This window comes from Homo sapiens, chromosome 2 (genome assembly GCF_000001405.40).
Source record: "Homo sapiens chromosome 2, GRCh38.p14 Primary Assembly".
Classification (NCBI taxonomy): domain Eukaryota; kingdom Metazoa; phylum Chordata; class Mammalia; order Primates; family Hominidae; genus Homo; species Homo sapiens.
Window position 1 is genome coordinate 209,701,025 of NC_000002.12, and position 25,272 is coordinate 209,726,296.

At 33.9% G+C, this 25,272-nt stretch overlaps 1 protein-coding gene and 1 pseudogene across 90 annotated transcripts in view; one reads left to right on the forward strand and one right to left on the reverse strand.

Annotated features, from left to right (window-relative positions):
- The window catches only part of MAP2 (microtubule associated protein 2), a 310,066-nt gene that overhangs the window by 276,978 nt on the left and 7,816 nt on the right, over positions 1–25,272 (forward strand). For 56 of the 90 annotated variants that reach the window (NR_164695.1, NR_164694.1, NR_164696.1 and 53 more), the window contains 3 exons: positions 4,556–4,703; positions 8,890–9,230; positions 24,685–24,766. Coding sequence is in view for 84 of the 90 variants with exons in the window: in NM_001375493.1 (NP_001362422.1) it covers positions 4,556–4,703; positions 8,890–9,230; positions 24,685–24,766 (571 nt within the window). In the remaining 6 variants the exon portion in view is untranslated. Of the gene's footprint in view, positions 1–3,425; positions 3,597–4,555; positions 4,704–8,889; positions 9,556–9,639; positions 9,791–22,570; positions 22,664–24,684; positions 24,767–25,272 lie in introns of those variants that run through there. The other 34 variants (NM_001375504.1, XM_024452894.2, NM_001039538.2 and 31 more) reach the window with 6 other exon arrangements.
- On the reverse strand, positions 20,889–20,997 carry RNA5SP118 (RNA, 5S ribosomal pseudogene 118; annotated as a pseudogene).

Here is a 25,272-nt window from a genome sequence, read left to right on the forward strand (position 1 = left end):
AACAATATTACTGTAGAGAACTTTTTGGCTAAGTTCAGTTTGTATGCTATTTCCTTCATTTTCTACTAGTGAAATTATTGTTTCAAGAAAAATGTTAATATTTAAAGTTTTTGCTGCATATTGTCAAATTGCCCTCTGGAAAGGTTCTACCCACTTATACATTCTGTATAAGGAGAGTGTTCATATTTGTTATTATTACTACATATTTTATATTGTTGTTGTATATTTGCCAAATTATAGAGATGGCATATATTATTATTTTAAAATTTTATTTTGGTTGTATTAATGGTGTTTAACTTCTTCATATGTTTGTAAATCTTTTCTATTTTTTCTGTGAATTTTATTTTTATATTATTAACTGTATTTTAATGACCAAAGCCAACATGAAGTATTTTCACTCCTTTATGATTGAAAGAAAAAAATTAAAAGGCTACTAATGAAATCCTAAAATTATAACAAATAATTTGAATGATATTAATTAGTAGCTTATAACAACATTCTGAGACTGAGCAAACACATGTAATATGTAAATCACAATTCTTAGCTTACCCTTCTAAAAAACCAATAAGATTTTAGACTTCCACTTTTATTTATTATGAAAAGTAGTGAGTGATTCATTTCTTTGATCTTGAACCTGAGGGGTTTTATGTTGATAAAAGATGATACTTGATTTTTATACAAATGTTTCAGATATATTCCTGAACATATGGCAAGCAACAGAATTCATTTATTGCTTTGGTGAATATTAGGCTTTATTATAAACACATTGTGATTTCAAGATTTGTATCTCTTTACCTTCTGTTTCCAAATTAATGATGTATGGTGGTTGGCCGTAGGGCTATGAAACAAATCATGTTCAAATCTTGAACATCTATTAGTTATATGATCCTTTTCTTCCTATTTCTTAATTTTCTAAAAATAAAGGGGAGGACAAAATTCCTGTCTCATGAGTTAGTTATAAAAATTAAATGTAATGATGTTATAAAACAGTATGCAGTATAATGTTTAGAACATAGCATTCATTTAATAAATGGTAATAGTTGTTAGTTATTATTTTAGTTAACTGAATGGTGGAAGTTTTCAGGAGCAGATATAGAAAATAAGTCTGACCTTTCCTCCTTTAGGTTGACATTATTTGGAACATTTTTAGGAAATTTTTAAGCCCCTTGGTCTTTGAGTAACTCGATAGAATCAGCACTTGGAACAGAACCATAGGCATCGTCTGACACAAAACAACCTTTTTTCCTTGTAAATGCCCGTCTTGTCTTTCTGAAGCAAAATTAGCCCTTCATTCTTTCTTTTTTTCTCATTTATTAGTCTTTTTTTCTTCCTAATCCCATATCCTTGTTCTATAAGTTTTCTAAAACCCCGAGTAACTTTTATTTGATTTAGCTCTAATGTTCAGTATATCCATCAGTACTGTTCTCTGATTTTTTTTGGTAGTTGTATGCTCTTTCAGATTCACTTTTTTTAACTTAAAAATTTTTTTTCTATGGGTACATATTAGTTGTATATATTTATGGGATGCCTGTGATGATTTTTTAAATTGCTCTTTATTAGGAAACAGACCCACCCATAATCCTGCATTTCACGTGGGTTTTTCTGTTGTTTGTTTGTTTAGCATTAATAGTTGTCTTTCTTAACTACAAGCAATCCAATTTATTTTTCTCTTCTATATCACGCTTTTGAAATTCACTCTTTTGTGGGTAGGATCAATAAAAAAAGAATGACTTGTGCTGACCCAATTACACTTCCCACTCAAGATACTGGGTCTATAAAACAAGAAGTGATTTGTACAGTCTGTAAATACTTATGTCCTGTTGTAGCCACAGAGGTTAAAACTTGAGATAAAAATCTCAGTTTTATCTGTCATTTCTGTAACAGTTAAATCAAATTAATTATTTGAAGATAATAATCTCCTTGGCTTTGTCATACTTATCTATATTTTTAACAGTCACCCATGAGACATATGGCACGCTGGCATAGCTTTCTCCAAAAGCCATACATCCTTCCCAATTATACTTGCAGACAGTCTCCCCAGGAGTTATCAACACCTGTAAATTAAGTCGTGATTTTTATTGGCCATCTTTTCAGTCCTGACTTTCCTTTTTAGAATTCATAACACATCATGCAGACTCTAGTCTTTGCATAAAAATGTTATTAGTTCTATGGTATAACTTAATCCACAGTATGTGTTTCACTTATAAAATGAACAAATTATATATAAACTCTGAAAAATTCTGTTGAAGTCAATGTAGATGACGTGAAAATAAATTTTCTCAATCTTTAAAAATACTTTTTTCATTATTAGGCTTCAAATATACCTTGTTCCAAAGTTCTTGAAACATGATTAAGATATGGATTATATGTACACCTTAAAGGCTGTGTTTATTAAAGGAATAATTCCAGCAGATAGGATATTGAAAGATATTTCCAAATGTGTTATCATTATAAAACTTATGAATTAATTAGAGACTATATACGTAGAATCCAAAAAGAATATTTTATATACATTATCCTTAAATTAGAGAACTATGTATAGAATCATTTTTTAAACAACAAAATTTAAGCACTCAGCATTATTTTTTAAACCTGCAAAAAGAGAGTTTTGCTAGTCACTTGTAACATTCTTTCTATATTAAGGCTTATTGTATTTTTAAAGAGAAAGAGAGACTTGCTTTGGTCTCAGGATTTCACAAAGCTAATTCCTTCATATCTAAGCAATATTACTCTTTCTTCTGTCCTTCTATCTATCCACCCACTCATCATTTATTCAGCAATTATCCGCTGGTTCTCTACTGCGTACCAAACATAAACAATCACATTTGGAAGTAAAGAAGAGCAAGTAATAAGTAATAAACATGGATACCTGTTCTAGACCTGGTTAATAGAAAATAAAATGGTTTAGCATTATTTTTGTGTTTTATTTGTATAACAGATTTTTTATTTTATTTTTAATCAGGGTGTCCATGTGCAGGCTTGTTACAAGGGTATATTACGTGATGCTGAGGTTTGAGCTTATATTGATTCCATCATCCAAATAGTGAACATAGTTCCCAATAGGAACTTCCCAATAGGAAGTTTTTCAATCCTTCCCCCACTTTTGGAGTCACCAGTGTCTATTGTTGCCATCTTTATGTCCGTGTGTACCCATTGTTTAGCTCCCACTTATAAATGAGAACATGTGATATTTGGTTTTCTTAGACATTTTTCTATGACTATTATTAAGTTAGTTTTGGCTAAAAAGAACTGTGAAAATCTCTTCTCATCTAAGTACACATCTCTATCATTGATTATAACCATTTATCATGTGTTCTTATTAAAAAGACTTTGAGTTTCTTATATGTTTATACTTCTTTTTTATCTTCCTTTTACTTTATAGTTTGGTTTATTTTGTGCTTTTGTTTGTTTTCTTTCATGGCTAGAATTCTACCTTGTCAAAGATTCCTGCTTTACAGGGTAGCACAAAGTCCCCAAGATACAGCTCAGCCTGCCCTAGCACGACTAAAAGGGCTACATTTTCTGACAGTTTATTAATACAGCCCACCTCAGCAGGCTCCACAGACCGTTTGCCATACTCAAAATCAGGGAACAAGGTAAGGCGGCAGGTCAATAAAAGGTGCAGAAAGAAATAGAATTTGGGAGAAGGTTATGTTATAGAACCTAATTCAGGAAATGTATGAAAGCAAATACTTTACTCTGAAGTGTTTGACACATAAACAGTAGGCCCTTTTAAAAACAAATACAAATTTAAAATTTTGATAAACAGTATACCTATTTTTTAAATGTAGAAAATATGTCTTTTTCTAGATATGCTACCCATTATTAATTTATGGTTTGATTATCTGGTAAAATATCAAATGCAAACTAACAAAACAAAATATATTCTATTATATATAATATATAAGAAATAATATTGTACAGTACAATAATAACAAATTACATTGTATAGAATATAATAGATAATTTAAACTAAACGTCATATACATCAGGGTTTAATACTATCTCTGACACCTACCAACTCAATTGTCTTGAAACAATTATATAAACTCATTAAACTTGTTTCTTCAGCTTTAAAATGTGTATCATGTTTTGTGGTGAGAATCAAATCATAAAAGGATATAAACTATAAAGGGTTCCTGTCACATACACGCACAAGATATGGTAATGGTCATTGTTAGAAATATTATGCATGCAGTGAGCTACTCTCAGTCCTTTCTGATTAATAAATTATCATGCTAATGAAGATTTTTCAATAAAATTAGTAATTTGCTGAAGATTGAGTACATTTATTTTACCAATATTATCATTTAGAACTTGAACTTCACACTCAGTTATTAGAACTCCAAAATAATGTATTTTTACAAAACATCTAGGCAAATATGCACTCTTTCTAAGTTATAAAGTAGAAATGTTTATAAATATATGAAATCCAGTAGTTTGTATTAAAAGAAATTCATTTATTAGCACAGGAGGAAAATAGCAAAATCAATATCACTTCGTATAAATTAAAGAGTTACAAGAACCCAATGTTCTTTTTGTTTTCTCCAATCAGGACGGAGTAACCAAGAGCCCAGAAAAGCGCTCTTCTCTCCCAAGACCTTCCTCCATTCTCCCTCCTCGGCGAGGTGTGTCAGGAGACAGAGATGAGAATTCCTTCTCTCTCAACAGTTCTATCTCTTCTTCAGCACGGCGGACCACCAGTAGGTTTATTTTGATTTGAATTCCTTTTTAAGCACTTTTTAAATCCTTTAAGTGGAATAGCACTTATATTTATATTTTAATTTGTAAAAATAAAACATGCATTAAGACTAGATTATATTTGCCATAAGGATCAGAAAATCCAGAATGTAGATGGCTGCAAAATAGCTGTTTGAGTAAAAACAACTGATGGAGGAAATGGTAACATATTACCCTATTATCTAAGACTGATATAAAGTTATTTCTCTAAGAATATATTTTTCTTTTTGCTTCAAATTTAGAGCAGAAAAGAAAATTCTAAAGAAGTAATCAATGTAGAAACCAAGTCAAGGATTTTAAAAACATACATCTATAAAAGCTTAACACTTATTAGATTTCCAAGTTGTAAAATCTAACTAGAAAGTCGACATTCAAAACTTAGGATCCTGTTCAACTTCTTAAGAATTTGCATTCCAAATGAGCTATAAATATAGCATAGTCTATGCAATAGGTTCAAATTATCTTGATTGATGGCCCATTCATGAACTGATTGGCAATTGTAACAGTTTATATAATGCTCCAATCATTACACACTTATATGTTGCATTGTGGCAAACTATCTAGTAAAGCATGGATTCAAATTACTTCCGTAAATATTTTTCTGTTGCAACCAAAATAGCTACCGTTTATTGAGCACATATAGATACTAAACTCTTAAGATACATTTTTTCACTAATTTAATTAGCAAGACTAATGACTATTATAATAATTAATAAACTCAATTCATTCTACTGATGAGAAAACTGACCCTCTAGAGAGGGTAACTTGTCCAGTTACCCTCTAGAGAGGGTAACTGCTTCACAGTTCGCAAGTGGTTGAATTTGGTTTTCAGCCTACTGATAACTTCACAACCTGAAGTCTTAATGTCTTTTCTACATTTATTGGGAGGAAATAGTACTAGAGAACTGCTCTGTAGAATTATTTGGAGAAGAGTATCTGTGTCATTTAAGAACCATTTTAAAATGGTGGAAATTGCTACCACTATCACATTATAGTTGACTTCAACACTTATTTTGATAATAATTGGCCCACTTAAATATGACTATTGGCATTTAAACAGTGTTTTTGCCTACAAGAAAAGTGTTTATTATAATAACAGTAATTGTGTCCAACATTATTTAGTTTCCTAGAGTATTAGCATCCTTTGAAATATGTGTTAAGAACACTGAAATCACAAAAACTCTTTTATCATAGCAAAAATAAATTATTTGAATGAATTAGCAGGAAGGTCATTTAAGATTTAGTACTCTCCAGGGAAGAGACTTTAAATCTCTAGAGTTGAAATTGAACATAATTAATAACCCCAAGGATGTATGAGACAAGACAAAGATACCAAGTACTCTCGAAAGGAACATCTTGAATTATACTTGTATTTGTTGCTATAAAAGCAAAATGGCACTTTCTCCATAAATCCACTTCTTCAAACCACTGTGTTCTGCCTTTTAAAGTGTATCTATATATGAATTGATTCATTAAATGTTCAGCACCAATTCTATTTTGACTTTTTAAATTTACTGATGTTTACAGGCATTTTGCATTGTATTATTTGATAGTGAACATAACTAACACATTGATAATTTTAAAACATAGGATCTGTTTTACCTCTGCATACCAATAGCTGAAAGGCATAAAGACGATTGGAAAAGCAAGCACTCTGCCCACTTCTACTTGTGCACCATCCCCTTAATGGTACACAGGGATGTTCTAACATTTTGTGCAGCTATTGAAAAGATTTGAAGGAAACAATGTTGTGCAGGAAGCTCATCCGCCCAAGAGGAAGGAAATCCATTGTCATTGAGGAGTTGACAAGATAAATAAAAGCACAGTTTAATCAATTAACTTGTAAAGAAATATCTTAAAAGTTGTTTTAGATCTTAGGCTTAACCTCTTCAAGTTCAGAACAAATAAGAAACATTCAAATTTATTGTTTTGATGACAAGAACATATTTATTACAATAAAAATTGGTCATATATATTGAACAGCAGTGTGAAGGCCTTAATATTTGTAGTTTATCTTCTTTCTCCAGATGTAACATAAAACCTTCTTTTATAAAGCTTAACGTGTTTTCTACAAGTATGGAAATGACTCCTTAGAAGTTTAGAAAAAATTATTTCATATAGTAAAAATTGTTATTCACATCCAGAATATTGCTTCAATTCAGTCTCCATGAAGTCAAAAAACCCCTCAGCACACTTTGATGAATTCTGAATTATTAAAAAAATATGTTGTCTACCTACTGTTTTCAGCTCACATGAAAGTCACCAGGGCTAGGTACAATGGCAAAAAATACAGGGATGATCCCTCTCCCCAGAATATCTGAGCTATTCAAAACTGGTGAAGTAATAGAGAAAACATTCAAGAAAGAAATAATGTTTCTGGAGAAAGTATTCAGACAGACATAGAGACAGACATCTACGTTACAAACTTAGTCCATAACAAACCAGGACATGGAAGTTACAAAATGCCAAGTTGGATGTGGTTGTGTCATCCTAGTCTTGAAATTCTTGTGAAAAGCAATAAAAATCACAGAACACATGCTAATTTCTCACTTTAGACTTCTCATATCCCATTTCATATTATCAATTGAAGAGTCTAACTATCTTGTGCCCTGTGTTAGAAGACCAAAAAGACACAGGGCACTTTCATTTGATACTTGAAAACTGTTCACTGAAAGAAGTAAAATTCTTCTGTGTTTCTCCAGGAGATAGAACCTATGGTGATGGGTGGATTTACATTTTCCATAGATTACAATTGTCCAAGAAGCTCTCCTGAGCTCACATCTTGTAAATATTTAAGCAAAGATTACATGTCCACTTCTCAGAAAGAACTTCCTATATTTATGATCAATTGCATTAGGTGACCTCTGAGATTCCTTTCACTTCAGTGGCTTTAAAATTGTTATATATTTATTCTCTACAAAATTTCAGAAGATTCATTGATTTTTTTACTTAAGCAGCAGTAAAAAATGAAAATTATCCCTTTTCTATAAAATATGTTATAAATGAAATTTGCATGCTTAAAAATGTAAATCCTCAGGGGCTAAATATTGTATCTGGCTTAGACGTTAGTAGCATCTGGGTGAATGAGCCTCAATGTTCTCATTTCTTAGGAATAATAAGAGCTGCCCCTAACAACTGTATTGTGCATGTTTGTTTGGTTATCAGTTGGTTGGTATTCACATAAGTGCTTTGAAATTTATAAGGTGTTGCATTCTTATTTCTATCATTCTTTCAGGAAAGTATTTGAAATGTCATTCAAAGCACATTCAAAAGATGAAAGAAACATAGTATAGGAAAGTGGGGGGTGGGAATAATAATAATATGAGGCTGAGCTCAACTTGAGGCAAAGAAATGCATCTCAGATCCTGTATAATTAATGTGGTTTTGGATTTAACTCTAAACTGCCAAGCTAGTGATGAAAACAGAGGAGAAAACACAATCAGGTACGAGGCTCACTGGGAATATATTGTTGAGACATCCCAAGTTTCTAAGGCAAGAAACAGACTTTTTTTTTGGTTTGAAGCACTGAGATAATTTTCCTTATGAAAAGAATACATGATATAGTATAGCAGTGTCTGACAGCTTCCATAAACACATTTACACCTCATAGTGTTCCTCAGTATAAGGATATAATATTGAAATGCAGATCTTTCTATACAGGCCAAAACTATGTGTCCTAAATACATGGTTCTATATTGTATGTTCACCTGGATCCCAGAATGAATTTACTACATAGAGGAATGAATGATCTACATATCATTCAAGGAATCTTCAGTAAATATGGGTCTGCATACGACACTAAGTGTAAACTCTTTCCAACTAAAGGCAGATCCATTTGCCTTAATAGTCACACAAGTAGAAAATAGTTTTTGACACATTCATAATGAAAATTACGGAGAACAAATCAGAAAAAAAAAATCAGGTTTTTTTCTTTGTGTTGATAGCAATGCATGTTCAAAAGAATGCCACCGGGTTATGCACCTGATTTCAGAAACGAGACTCTCAGCTTCTTGAGTACTATAGTGATAACTGTTTCTAAATACCTTAGAAATTAAACGTATTATGACTTCTAACAATCTATGGGAAGAGGGATGTTTTGAGGAGAATTGTCTGACTCTGGTTTGGTTTTGGTCTTGCTTGTTAATACAGGGTCAGAGCCAATTCGCAGAGCAGGGAAGAGTGGTACCTCAACACCCACTACCCCTGGGTCTACTGCCATCACTCCTGGCACCCCACCAAGTTATTCTTCACGCACACCAGGCACTCCTGGAACCCCTAGCTATCCCAGGACCCCTCACACACCAGGAACCCCCAAGTCTGCCATCTTGGTGCCGAGTGAGAAGAAGGTCGCCATCATACGTACTCCTCCAAAATCTCCTGCGACTCCCAAGCAGCTTCGGCTTATTAACCAACCACTGCCAGACCTGAAGAATGTCAAATCCAAAATCGGATCAACAGACAACATCAAATACCAGCCTAAAGGGGGGCAGGTAAGAATTGCATGAACACATATTTGCTGCCAGAAATAATTATTACATTGCCTTCTTCATATTGAAAACTAACAGTTCTTAAAAGGGAAGCAGAGGTGTTAAAGAGCTTGGTTACAATTTATTGCTAAGAGTTTGGACTTTACATTAGGAAGATAGCCTCTGAAATACAACGAAAATCACATGACATGCCCATTCCTTCTGTTTGTTACTGGGTAAAAATTTTTACCAACTTTTAGTTGATTGACTAACTTTTTTTTTTTCTGAATGTATCTCTATTGCTTTGTGTTTTTTAACTTGAGATTAAAGTTATATTTCTGATATAAAATTGAGTTTTCTATTTTAGTTTCTGACCATGAGCTCATTTGGCTATCTTTTAGTGATTCCAATTTTATCTCCTTTCTTCCCCAAGGATTTCCTATGACATTTTCTACCATTTCCTCATGTTTACTCCAAAATAAGGATGTTTCACCGAGTTTCAATTCTGGCTACTATTGCCTAAATGTTGCAAAGGGGAGGTATTCGTGTTGATAATAAAAGACACATGGTTCTGATGAATAAAATTGTAGACTTTGAACTTCTATTCAAGATTAATTGTATTAAATAGAGCTATTAGTAAAGCTTACTTACTAACTCTTAACTTCAGCTCCCCAGAGCAAACATTCATATCTTTTCAAACCAGGGGGTTTTGAGTTCTGTCTTGACCTGAACCTTGCTTATACACTACATGTTTGGACAAAGCAATTAGCCTGGAAGGAAATAATACAAATATTATTTAATGTTTATCTCATAATATTGATCTATTCAGGATAGTTTAACTTTTGTCATTGAAGAGATATAAAACAACATCCTTTTTTGAAAGAAAGAAGGACAAAAACAGTAACTTTGTACATAAACGAACTTATAATGCCCTTTCAGTATTCCAAGAAAGTCTTTCCTTTTTAACGTCAATATTTTTTTCTGCCACTCTTTTTCTTGTCTCTTGTATTTTGTGCCACTGCTTTCTGGTATCTCTCCTTCATGCCAAAGAAAATCTATTTTCAGGAAGAAAGATCTTGCCAAAATGTAAAGCTATCAGGCACTCCTACTCACCAATGAAGCAACAATTCAGTGTTGCTCTTTCATTTAGCAACAAACTTCTTTGCTGTCTCTTTATGGCTCTGTAAGGGAAAGCCCAAAGAGTTAAGAAAAATCAACCAATGGGGCAGGAGGGGAGAGGTCAATATGCCCTTTTAGAACAATGATAACATTCTATAATAATAGAGTCATAGAAAGATACTTTTTCACAGACAGATGCTATGAAAACTAGAAGCTACAAGAAACATTTTTAAGCAAAAAGTAGAATTATAAGCCTATAATTCCTAAAAAACTCAAACTATTCTTGCGTTCATCAGAGTTTTGCACATGCAAGAGAAGGAAATATTTTGAGCTTTTTGGAAATATTCAAATGTTGCATCATCTTTATATTTATACATAAATAATTTAAAAGTGTAAGGTGAATAAAATCAATTTAGTACCATTTGGAAAGTTCTGCATTTTAGCCTTGGACAAGCTATCCTCTAAAATAGAATAACTATTATGTATATTTAAAAATCAGTTCTTTTAAAATAAATATTCCCATGTCCTGTTATTCTCCTCAACTAGATATGGGGTTTACTTAATTATATTCTGGAAAACATTAATACTTAAAATAATTTGTTTCCTCTTAGAATCACAAGAAAATACAAATTATCTCCAAGATATTGTATTAAAACTAACAAAAGTAATTAAAAGAGAAAAGTATTATTTTAAGTTGACATAGAAATTTTATAATATATGATTTTCTTTGAAGGACTCCTTAAGAAAGGCAAAAAGAATGGTTTTAGCCCCAGCTTTGCAGGAACCTCTAAGATTCAATCAACCCAAAAAATGTGAAGACGTCTGTTTTCTTTTTCTGATTCTTTATCATATCTGGTTTGGAGTATTTTTATGTCTTATTGTAATTGACTTCTATATTTGGTAATTCATAAAATTGATACAAAATATCTCATACTTTTGAGCTGAACTAAAACTTCCTTAGAGATTATGGTGGTTAAGGACTAGTAAATACATATGACACAAAAATTACAGAAAGAACAAAAATAGCTTCAAAATCACAGTGTCATTTGAAGCAAATATGTTTTTATCATCAGGCAAGTGTTAACCTGCTACAAAATTATCCTACTTCAGCAATGATGACTTTGGAAAAAATCCACAACAGTGGAGTTATGAGGTAACTTTTTTGCAGAAGTAGGAGGTATTTCCTCACCAAGATAAACAGATGAAAGATATTTGCCTTCTATTTTGTGATAGATGGTATAAATTCACTTAAAGGGTAAAATGAATTGGGAAATAATAGCGCATTGCAATTGAACTGTCTTTGTAGGAAAAACATATCATTCAACACTTCAGCACTCTCCCCTTAAAAGCCTCCTTACAGTGTGTGATCTCAGATATAGGGAGTGAGGAGAGGTTTTTTCCATACTTGTAAAACTGAAGATCTTATAGAACGACTGAAGGAAAAGTATTTTAGGGCTTCTTAGAAATTATCAAAATGACATGTTAAAGACCTTTATTAGATGATCGAGCATCTATACATGCATACCGTTGAAGAAATTGAAGCCACTAGCACATTGTTCTCAATTGTAAATTGATTTTCCTAAGGCACTTGAATGGGTTGGCCAACGCAGAAACATTTAAAAAGACAGAACAAGAGCTATACTTTCTTCACGGGCCAGGTTTTGTAATAGTGATATATGGTCTCTAGGAATTCAGAAAAATATTCATGTAATTCTTATTAAAGAAGATGGGAGTAAAATTAAAGATGTAACTTTAATTCCTCTGCACAGGGTCTATTGTGGTAAAATTTGAAGCAATTAGGTTGTATACAAATGATTTAATTGTGAAAACTTCATTATTGGGGTTTTAAAATTTGTGCAATCTCTAAAAATTGGTAGAGGAAATCTATAATAAAGATATATGCATCTTAGGAACTCAACAGCTTTCCAAATTATTTGCCTGCAGTTTGAACATTAATTGCTCTTCTGTATGTACAGGTTTTGTGCTTAACAGCAGCTATCTCTTCTGTTAAGGTCCAATTTCTGTTGGCAGAGGGGCTCAGCTCAGTGAGTCACATCAATGCCTAATGGAATAGATAAGCTAGCTGAAGATACAAGGAGCTTTACAGAAGGCAATAAAGCTAATCTTTTCAGCTAAAACAAATTCATTCTATTGGAAAGAATATGGGCAATCATAGATTCAGTGTAGATAATTAGCTTGATTGATTTAACTCAAGGCATAGGGAAGACTATCTTATTAAGTGTATTAATTTGAAACTGCTCTATGTAGCTAGCCTCTCAATCTACATTAAATCTAAGTTTTAGAATAAATAATGTTAGCTTTTGAAGAACACAGCTGCTTCAGTTAAACAAAGGTAGAGAAACAAGCAATTTCTCTAAACACGTAGCATAAAAAAATTTAGGTAACAACTCAAGGAATAGTGCTTTTTGCCTTTTCTATCTAATAATCAGGTTTTAAAATAGTTACTTGGATTTATATGGAATGCTCCTATATGTTTTGACAGATATCTTGTTTTTCTCCATTGGCTTTATGAAGATGAGTATAAAAAGCACAAGTTGGCCAGGTGTGGTGGCTCATGCCTGTAATCCCAGCACTTTGGGAGGCCAAGGCAGCGGGTGGATCACCTGAGGTCAGGAGTTCGAGACCAGCCTGGCCAACATGGTGAAACCCCGTCCCTACTAAAAGTACAAAAAAAAAAGAAAATAGCCAGGCGTGGTGGTGGGCACCAGTAATCCCAGCTACTTGGGAGGCTGAGGCAGGAGAATTGCTTGAACCCAGGAGGCAGAGGTTGCAGTGAGCCAAGACCACGCCATTGCACTCCAACCTGGGCAACAAGAATGAAACTCTGTCTCAATAAATAAATAAATAAATAAAATTTTAAAAGCACAAGTTATATGCGCTTGTAATAATTGAAAGTTACTAAAGAAGTGGTTTCACAGATGTTGTTTTCATTAACTGCTCATTGGATAGGATAGTCAGTTAGAGCATAATCTCTGCAAGGCCATGTCTGTGGATCTGATTGATTGCCTCTGAATTATGTGCTTTTGCTCCATTAATGACTACAGTCAGTCATTTTCAGGTTAGCTAGGCTACAGATGGTGGCATCATCATGCAAGTCACTCCTTTTTGAAGAAAAAACAGTACTCACTTTTTAAATAAAGAACTTTGTAAAATTTGTCAGCATATTGCTTTCCCAATCAGCATTGGTCTGTCATCTTTGTAAAATTTTTATTTAGATAAATCTATTAAACTAGAACCTGTAAAACATATCATTACATTCTAGAAATAAAGCAATCTTAGTTTCTATATCTCAGTTCTATATGGATCTATTAAACTAAAGGATATTAGATGTCAGAGATATCCATCTCCTTCTAATCCAACCCTCACATTTTCACAGAGTAAGAAACAGAAGTTCTCACATTACCTGCATCTTGCATATAGGACATTAAATATCATCCTTCCATGGCTGAGCTGTGAAGTCAGAGTCTATACTTTGTCTTTAATGAATAATTAGTCACTTATCTGCAAGTATGTAATTTTGTATACCTTAGTCTTCTTTGTTTGCCTTACCTTTCATTTCATAACATGAAAATAAATGGTAATTTTATTTAGCAGTGTTTTCCATGCCAAAGTTTTTTTTACCACGTCAGGATTGAAATTTGAAGCTTCTAAACTTTTATTATATTTTCATGAAATAATTTAATGCAAATAGCATGTTATATTGATACACTATTAAAATACATGTTATATTAATATACTACATTAAATTTGGAAAGGTATGTTGCATTTTATCATATTTTTTGTTTTCTCCTATAATTGACAGTTATTTTTTAAATAATTCTAAAAATTAAGGTTTTAAAATAGAAGCTAGTTAGCTTTTTAATTTCTAAGGATAATATAAAGAATCAATTATGAAATATTATAGCATCAATCTTGGCATCTTAAAAATAACATGGGGAGTTGTCTCCTATTACTTTGATAATTCCAGAAATACAAAGTTTTACCTTTCTTTACTTGACCATTGAGTCAACAAATATTTATTGAGCACCTACTACACCATGCTATGTTCTACATACTGAAATATAACAACAAACAAAATAGACATAGATTTCTTAAATTCTTGCCATCATGGAATTTACATTCTAGGAGGAAAGGTGAGCAAAAAAAAAAGTGATATAAGAAAAATATGTAAAAAAGTGCTAAGTATGGAGAAAAATAAAGATAAGAAAGAGGCTCAGGATATGTTAAGAGGAAATTGCATTTCTGATAAGATGGCTAGGAAAGTCCCGAGAAGGTGATATTTGAATAGAAGCTCCAAGGAAGTAAAGAAGTAAGCCATTTGGATAACTAGGTAATGAGCCTTTCAGGCAAAGGGAACCACACATCCAAAGACCCTGAGGTAGAAGCAGGCCTAACATGTTCTAGGAACAGCAAGTACATCAGTGTGACTGATGCCACATACATCTTTGAGTATAGAAAGTTTATGCTATTATTACATTATTATTTTTAGTATTATTACATCTATTCAAATAACAGGACTTTCATATTGCTAAACCAAAAATCTAAGTGTTGACTTTTCCTCTCACTTTCTCTCATCCCATATCCTAACCATCTGATTTTGTGCCCTGAATAGCTCTTAAATCTGGCCATTTCACTCAGTCTGCTCTGCACTACCTTAGCGCAGGATACATGATCTCTTGCTGATATTGTCGCAATTGTTATTAATTTTTGGTTTCCCTACATCTGTTGTTTGCTCTATCTGATGTACTCTCTATACTGTAACCAAACTTTCTCACCACATTTTTCATTAAATATTCCATTATATAATTAGTAATTTAATGTCTATCTTGTTTCACTTACTAGACCATAAGGTCCATAAAGTCAGAGATGAGGTGCATTTTGTCCATAATGTCCCATACATAGTAGGTGCTCAATAAATATGCAGTGAAAATTGAATGAATGTATTATGCCATATTCATGGAGAGATGCATTCTTTTAGTGACACCGTTGAATGATTATGAATGTTTTATGTCATGACAGTTATTATCCAAAGAAACTTTCCATGTTTGTCTAAAACAAGCTTGTCCAACCCATGGCCCTTGGGGCCACATGTGGTGCAGGATGACTTTGAATGTGGCCCAACACAAATTCATAAACTTTTTAAAAACATTTTGAGATTTTTTGTGATTTTTTTTAGCTCATCAGCTATGATTAGTTTTAGTGTATTTTATGTGTGGCTCAAGACCATTCTTTTTCTTCCAATGTGGCCCAGGGAAGCCAAAAGATTGGACACCCTGATCTAAAAGAATATTGAACTAGGATTTAAGAGCTGAGTTAGTGGTCCAGCTCTTCTATTAAAGTATTGCATTACCTTAGGTACTGATTTTTTTTTTGTCCTTATTTGTAGAATGGAAGCAACAAAATCATGCTTGTTTTTGTATATAGCACCATTTCATTTAAATAGACTCTTAAATCATTTTAAATTCTCACATGCATGGTACTACTTGGAGCATGATAGTAGTTATGCATTACAGTTCATCAAAAAACATTCATTTAGGTATTCTAATAGATTCCATATATGTTTGTGCCACAAGGGCCAGCTGAAATTGAGTAAAAGAGCAGGTTTCTGAAATAGAAGAAAGGTGTCATAAGGGAAGAAGGAGACATAGAGAGGGAGGAAGAAGGGAATAAAATTAGTGAAATGTAGGGTGGAATCTTTTTAAATATATTCTTATAAAGTTTTAGGCATTATCTGTATTAGTCTGTTCTCACATTGCTATAAAGAGCTACCCAAGACTGGGAAATTTATGAAGAAAAGAGGTTTAATTGACTCACAGTTCCACAGGCTTAACAGGGCGCATGACTGAGAGGCCTGAGGAAACTTAAAATCATGGCAGAATAGGAACTTTCACTCTCTCTCCTGCCACCATGTGAAGAAGGTGCCTGCTTTAAGGGAAAGCAGTTCCACACACTTTTAAATCATCAGATCTCATGAGAACTCACCGTCTTGAGAACAGCAAGGGGGAAATCTGCCCCCATGTTCCAATCTCCTCCCACCAGGTCCCTCCTCCAATTCAACCTGAGATTTGGGCAGGGACACAAATCCAAATCATATTGTTACCCTCGGATTATTTGTAGGCCCTTTAAATGCTAATTACATAGTTTACCTTCAATTTTATATTTAAGAAAATGGATTAATTCTGGAAGCAACTAATAAATTATAGTGAAACAGAATTTTCCCTCATTATATGAAATTATAATGGTTACCACTATGAAGGTCTACTGGGTGCTATTAACATGTAAGCATATTTATAACATATAAGATGAAGAGAGAAAGATTGCAATGAATCTTTTTCTCATTCACATATTTATTCTTTCATCAAACATTTACTAAGATTGCTGGGCATTAAATGACAAAAGGGCAATGGGAGACAATGAGGCATGGTCTCTGCAATCTAGGCAAAAAGGAGGTTTTTTGTTTTTTGTTTTGTTTCTTGTCCTCCTCTAATGTCTTCCCCTTATTTAATTTTAAGTTTTTTTCCAAGCCATTTCTTCACATCTTCTTAGAGCTACAATAAGGGCTAAATAAGAGGACTCATAAAATACCCTACGAACTTGTAAAAATACTGTTGGTCAACACAGCATGAAGAAATTTATTACAAGGCTTTTGTTTGTTTTGTTTTGTTTTTTGATATCAAAGTCATCATTATATCAGAGTGAAAGCTACTTAAGATCAGGACTCTGTCTTTATGCAATAGAATTTTGTAACTATAAATCAAATGTCTTTTGTGGAGTAATGAAAAGGTTTTGAGCTAGGTTGAGTAAATACTAATTTTTAAAAATTATGAGAAAATTACCACTTTGGGTTTGCAAAGTTGAGGCTTGTTGAGCCTTTTTATCTACTGTTCATTCACAAGCCAAACAAAGACACAGGAACTAATGAGGTTATTTTCAGATAACTGAGCAGACTATTTAACAATTACTTTCTTTGATGACTTCGTCCACTATTCCTTAGAATTTCTTAAAAATTTAAACAAGAAAAAATTTAATGTCAAAAAATTATAATATACAAATTTGAAAAAGTTCATTAGCTGTTCATTTTCATGAATCAAAATGACTGTTGTACTCATAATGTTTCTTCCAGCGCCCACTGAGAGACCATTTACAAATACGTAAAAATGGGTCCAGTGACTGAACTCATTAATGTCTATTCCACTAAAACGTTCTTTCCAAATTCTTCAGCATTATCTATTCACCCCGGGCTTTTCAGTGTGGTTCTACTTTCTGTGCCATGCGACTCAGCTTGCGTAGGAAAATTGGTCTCTCCAACTTTTCTTTTAGAGTTTTGTGGAATTGTGCATTTTGACATAAACTGTTATTTCTTCCTAAATGTGTATTTAAATATACATATTGTTTATATTGGATATAAAAAATTTTAAAGAAACTATTGTTCAATGTAGGCAGGGATGATTAAAATTCTGATTATAATGTCTGCATACATTTTAACCAGAGTGCAAAGTTTTTAACAGATGAATCTTTGAAGAACATCATGTGTGCCAGAGAACTTTCAATCTTCGGGAATATCTGATGTAGTCATAGTTTGTTTTACTATAGGATACTTGAGGATTTTATAGAGGCGAAATAGTTTTCCTTAAAATGAATATTATGAAATAAAAAATACTTTCGAAAGAGAGAGAAAGTATTTTCATAATGCAAGAACAAAGGAAGGCTTAATTTTATGCCATCTTGAGAAATGAGGGAAACCCAAAGGAGAAACTTAATCCCCTGCAAGGTTAAAGGGAAGTCAGTTGAGTGCCACTGTTCACTCCCCCTTCTCAAAAGCATTCTTTCTGATACAACTCAGATGGAGGAAGAGAGAAACGGTGTTGCAACCTAGGTTCGTACCTAATGGATGCCTGAGGGGGTCTAGACAAATCCAAATTATTTGACTCCTAGTCACCCTCCACATCTCACCACGTTGAGCTGACGTGTGGGTCTTTTGTTAAAGAGAGCAGTGTTAGAGTCAATTTAAAAATAAATCAAAATCTCATTGCTCAAGAAATTCAAGTTGACATTGGGATGAATGCCTCCAACTTACAAATTGTTTTACTAAAAATTGTACATTAAGAATGTATTTTCTTTCATTTTACGTTTCTTAGTAAGAGAGATGTTTTTTTCTTGTCTGCAGGCATATCCTGCATTTTCTGTTTCAATCCTTTCCTAGAGCAACCCTGTTTTAGGGGAACAGGTTAATTTATTGAAAGAAACAATTAAATATATGCAGAGAGAGAGAGCACCGTGGCAGATCACTTCAATTAAACCGTGGTGATAAAATCCAACTAAAGTCACACAAGGAATATCCAGAAAGAAATTACAATATTCTTCTCTATCATAGTGGAAGAATAGAAAGAATTAGTAAAATTAAAATAAAGCAATTCTAATGAATTTTTTAATGTCATTAACCTATGCTTATACAACTCTTCATGCTATATGACCCTTATGTGAATGGAAAGCCAACTATTTGTGCAAATAAATCACCAATGTTTGCATAAAATTCATGAGACTAAAATCCTTTTTTGCAAGCTCCCACTGGAGGTATTGATTGCACCAAACCTTAAAGAATAATCTGTTACAGACTCAAATTGGAATGAGAGCACCCTAGGGAGAGATAATAACATAAAACACAGGGATGAACTTTAAATGTAAACACAGGCCTTAAAGTATAGAATATAGCAGAGTCTGGCCAAAATGTAAAGTAACAGAGAAGTCTGAAGAATCAGAATTGCTGAGACCTCTGGCTGCCTCACTAAGAAGTTTTGATGTATTTAATAAGAAATAGGGTGCTTGGGGGAATTTTGAATAGGGGAGAGCTATAGGAAGATGATCTGGTTGATTAATATAATATTTTTCACTTCTACTATGAATTATGTAGAAAAAAAGATTGTCACACTCTTTCAAATTACACTACTTTGTATTAATAGTGCAAGTAAAAATTTTACTTGAAATAGGCCGGGCACGGTGGCTCACGCCTGTAATCCCAGCGCTTTGGGAGGCCGAGGCGGGCAGATCACGAGGTCAGGAGATCCAGACCATCCTGGCTAACACGGTGAAACTTCATCTCTACTAAAAAATACAAAAAATTAGCCGGACATGGTGGCGGGCGCCTGTAGTCCCAGCTACTCAGGAAGCTGAGGCAGGAGAATGGCGTGAACCCGGGAGGCGGAGCTTGCAGTGAGCCGAGATCGCGCCACTGCACTCCAGCCTGGGTGACAGAGCGATACTTGGTCTCAAAAAAAAAAAAAAAAAAAAAAACTTGAAATAAATTGGCAGAGATTAAAATGTGATTTAGAGAAAATTTTGCGCAATTATTATTCAGATTTTTTCCTTCATATCATGAGCACGGAAAATTAGCTTTTTCGTTAAATAGTAGTTATTTTTTTTCTAGACAATCTCTAAGATGTTAAAATAATTTTCTCTTGACATAGGTTTTTAGGAAAACAAATGTTTTTCTAAAACTGAAAATCCCTTCCCAAAGAAATAAATATTTATTTAGATTTATCCATAGAACCCAGAGTTAAAACTATAACTCTTTGATTTTTTTTTTTTTAAACTGATCTGGAATATGGCCTTCTCCTTCACAGCAGCCACAAATTTTTCTATTTTATGAAATGGCTTCTGAGGACTGCTGTTATTTGTGGAATGAACTCTAAGATGCTAATTATTTGTAATTGACCCTAGAGATCTTTGGTGTGAAGTAATTTGTAATTTTGCTACGGCATAAATATGAGTCACGCGGAATAGGCGAACATTCAGGTGCAAGTTGTCAAGCTAGAGTGTAACTCTTCATGAGCACTAAGTGTCCACTATCCAAAGAGGTTTATGCTTCTTTCTACCCTACCATTAAGCGCGATGGAAAACAAAGGTCTAGAGAGGCCAGTTACATTTATTCTGTCATAATTCACCTCATTTTAGATGAAAAAATTATAATATAAAGCTATTGCATATGGAAATATGTAAAGAAAGTGCCACTAATGCATGTGAAAGGATAGGATTGCTTCATATTACAAGTTGAGCAGATATAGGTGGAGAAAGTCTACCTGCAAGAGAGGCAAGCAGGTTTTTTTGATAGAATATCTGTGATTTTCTAGAAAATCTGGGTAAAATCAACAGAAGTTAGCTTTTAAGTTGTAGGACTTTAAGATTCTAAATAATCTCTTAATAATGCTGGCAATGTGATCATTTAGGATTGAATCATTTGTTTTGGAAATCATAAAAATGATCAAACAGTTGATTAAATGTTAATGTCAAACAGATTTATGCAACTGATTTTAGAATTTCCATTTTTGTAACAAGTGAATCAGATTTCATGTTTGGCTTGTGATCACTTGGCAATGAGTCACCAGATTGGTACTCTAATGATCTCTAAGTTAAATTTTTTAAACATAGTATGAAATCCTGTATATTCTCAAGGATTAGTAAAATAGCTCACATCATGTCTATGTCATTGCCAAAATAATTAGATACTTATTGAGAATCCTTTAAAGTATTATTATTAGAAACAGTAAGTCAAAATTATTTGCTTTCTCCCATCCGAGTACTAATCAAGCCCGATCCTGCTTAAATTCCAAGATTAGATGGGAATGGGCACATTTATGGTGATATGGCCATAAATAAAATGATTTGCCTTTAGAAAATAATTTCTCTGTGAGGTTTTACATGTAATGGTCTTTGTTGGTTTAAAACTATCTCCGTCTTATGTGAAACATTTATAGTGCAACTACACTTATTGTTAGATACAGACTCTGTGAATATCTTCAAGCCTGTTTAAATTGCAACTTTTATTATGCCCTAAAAAGTAGCCCAATCATTCTGTCTTCTGAATTCAAATTTTGACAAGAGGCTCTCCCCGTGGGTTGCTGATGAGAGATATCAATGATATTTCCCTGCAAGGGACAAGCTATCTTGTCAATGTTAGGCAGGCACTGTGAATTAAGCTTTGCCTAGTTAAAAATAGTCAGGATTCAATGTCTTTTTGAATTATTTATTCTTTTTTGGAAATACCAAAAGATGTGGTAATATTCTTGCAGATGGCTGTGTATCTAAGGTAAATTTATTTAGAATTTTTTAATAAGAGGATAAAGTGTCCCCTAAAGCATTGAAAATGTTGTTTTTTTTTCTTTAGCTATTGCAGAGGTGGGGAAGAGAAGAGAGTAGAAGTAGCCAAAGTAAAACAAAATGAACAAATAACGACAATAACACAAATAAAGCTTTCTTTCCATGCTTATATTGCTTATGTGTCCTCCAAAAGATGCAAGGTTCAAAAGACATATGAAAGAAGTCATGAAAGTTGTAACATTTTACATTAAACCAGAGTAATGTCCTTCCAGATCTGGATCTGCTGTTGTCTTCAAGATGAATGTTTGACTTCCCAAAAATAGAAATAAAACACCTAACCTCAAATCTGCTGGCCTCAATCAAGGCCTGACCTATGTCTGTATGACCTAGTTACAAGTCAGCTAACCAATGGGCATGGGTTTTCTTTCCTCTAAAAATGGAAATAATGCTTCCATATGATCATCCATGGAAAATGGCTGCTCTTGAGCAATTGCCAGAAAGGGGCCTTCAGGATGTCGCTGAACCACCTGCAAGGGAATTGTGAAACCCAAAGTTTCTTCGTTGACCCTCCTGGGAAACCGGGGGTTCTTACCCTAGATGAATGAGAACTCTGATGTAGAGCATTCACCATGTGTGAGCCCCATTTGTGCTGTGTGGACCAACAGAACAGTCAAGTGTACGAGGTGATTAATAATTGTGATGGCTGACTCTGATGGGGCGAGGGAATGGCATATCCTCTAGGGTCCTGTGCTGAACAAGATTTAGTATTAACCACTATTGAACCTTACCTAGAGTGAGCCTGAGTCCCAGTGTTGCTGACAACATTGGTAGCCTCCCCATCACAGATGACTCAAGTTTTATTTTTCAATCCATATAACTGTTTCCAGATCATACCTAAGTACAGTGGGATTTCTTAGCCTCTCTCGCATTTGACCCTTGTGGGTGCAGAAGAATAGGGGCTCAGATTTACATGATAGAACAGTTCTTCAGTTCCAGTGTTAGATTTTCTCTTAAATAAATGTGTAGGTGGAAGGGAATCTAAAGCCTCTTTGATGCTACCCATTCTGGTTCCCTTTATCCAGCATCTTGATAGAAAAATGCACAGTGAAGTTACCTCCAATTCCTTTTAGGTTAGGATTTTAAACAAGAAGATCGATTTTAGCAAAGTTCAGTCCAGATGTGGTTCCAAGGATAACATCAAACATTCGGCTGGGGGCGGAAATGTAAGTAGAAGCGCCTTTTAGAAAGCTGTCCTGATTGCGTGGAGCCACCTGCACAGCCAGCACCCTGCCTTCTTTCCCACCTCTTTCCAACACACTGCTCCTTTCTCACTGCTGTTCCACATGTCTCCCTGGTATGATAGCTTGTAGCCTTGCATTTTCAGTGATGGACTTCCCATCCTTCCCTGTAAGATCATCAGGGAATTTCCTGCTTTGATTTGGGAAAGAAAACCTTGATGGGATGCACCATGGTTTTCTGGAGAATGGCAAAACCACTTCACTTGCCAACTTTGTTGCTGGCCTTCTTGTCTTCAATGTATTTTCTCACGTTGTTTCTACTCCACTACAAAAGTCAGCTGGGCACATATTTTTCTAGCTCCATTTAAATTACCCATGAGGCAAAGACTGATATACTTGTAAATGCCCAAAGTATGTAATGTCAATCTTCAGTGGTTCATTATTCATGAAAGTAAGGATATCATTTAGAATAATACAAAACTGGTGGAGCATGGTTCATTTATAATTCAAAGTGAAAGGATTCAAGTCCAGTGTACACTTTAGCTTGATGGGATTTTTTTTCCTGTCTCTTTCATTTAGTGTAAATAATGTCCTGTGAGAGGAAGGGAAAGATGATTCCATGTTTTTTAAGTGTGATTGAGGCAGAATTGAAATGGTCAGACAATCTCAAGCTAAAGGAAGCATGGTTCTTTATAAAACAAGAATAGTTTTTCAAAGGTGATCAGGCTAACTGTATTCTACAGATCCTATCTCTTTAAACTTCAGTTTCTGATCATCCATGACTCAAGTAATTTACAGGGTGTCGAGTCTAGAATTTCACCTGTCTACTAACTCTTTGGCTACTTGCTTCCCAACTGGGCAGAAGTAGAATCAAGCAGTGAAGAGAGAGAGAGAGAGAGAGAGAGAAGCAAGTGCCTTCTACAAGCAGCTGTTGCCTGATAATCAAAGTAGCTTCACTGAGCATAAAACTGTCATTGTCATTGAAAGTTCATAGCAATGTTTGCTGGCCCCCTTCAGGTATGCTAGGCTAAGCCTCAGGGTTAAACTTTACATTTATGTGGTTGCCACTCTTCCTTATTCCCCAGACTGTAAGTATACACCATGTGGTACTCTCATAAAAGGAGCCCCAGTCCTGGTAATTACCTTGAGGGTATCAGAGGATGGACCCAGCTATCCTTTACACAAGTGCTGCTGGACAAAACACCTAAGTGGAAAAGGATAAACTAGGATAATTAAAGATCTTAAAGTAAGTAGAGGAGCTTTATCTCCCAAAACAATAGTCTTAAATTTTCCTCTAGGAAAGAATCCCTTGTTTAAATATGCAGACATCCTGGCCCTGTCCTCATGATATCTGATTCAGTAATTCCCAAGTACTCTCGTGCAGATGACAATGGACCAAACTTGGAGAAGCACTGCTTCAAATATTGGGAGAGGAAATATTTTCAGTAAACCACACAGAAGAAAAAAACCTGTTACTATCATTTTATAATTTGGTATGAAAGAAAAATTTCATCTAGCTAAGATATGACAATGTAATAACAATTTAGGAAAGCACATTCAGAACTTCTTGTTGTATCTTAACGTTGGTCTTCTTGTAACTATGAGCAACATTGGTCACTTTTATGTAAAAATCACTTTATAAAGAATAATGCAGCTCTTCCCTTGGCTCTTTGCTTATGGAAAGGTTAAACAGTGTTGCTTAGTTCTCTGAGTGGAAGCTTGCCTTATTAATATGTTTCTATCCTCCTGTGTCATAATCTGCTTTCAACTAATAAAATCTTCTATTCTAGGGTTTTCTTTCACTTGGGTTCTTCTTTCCAATCCAAACATGTGGGAGAATATATGGAAAATTATGTCTTCCTCTGTTTGTGTGTGTACTTCAATTTGGGTTTCTAGCTATGTTGTTGCATGTTGTGACTTTGGGTGTGTTTCTAGATCTTATGTATGAGCTTGGGTTTTTGTCCATGTTTGAACTATTTTAAGCATGTTTTATGTGGTTCACATAGGTACAAATTGTTACCAAGAAAATAGACCTAAGCCATGTGACATCCAAATGTGGCTCTCTGAAGAACATCCGCCACAGGCCAGGTAAATAAATAATTTTTAGTAGTTTGAGAAATATTTAACTGGAATCAAGAAAGGGATGAGAAAATTTTTTGTTGTTGCAAAATACCTAATTGGAAGGATGTTTTAAAATATGGGTACTTCACATTTTTATTAATAGAAACTAAAATTGAAAATTTCAAGGCATCTTCATTGGGGAAAAGTGAACCCAATTACAATGAAGAGGACACATTTTAATTAAAAATTAAAAGGTACATAAGACGCATTTATCTTTATGTACTCAACACGCTTATTGGAGCTCCTTTGAAATACGTAGTCTATAAAATACATCAGATCATGTATTCATATATAATAACATTGGGGGTAGCATTTCCAAGGTTTTTTTTCCTAAAATTGGCTTTCTACATTATGTAAAATAAGGATTGTGCTTTGCAAAGCTGAAGAAGTGTATTTATCTGGTGAATTTCTCAGATTCTTTATTAGGTCAGTAAACACCATGAATACCCAGCAGAATGCAATGTTTCCTCAAC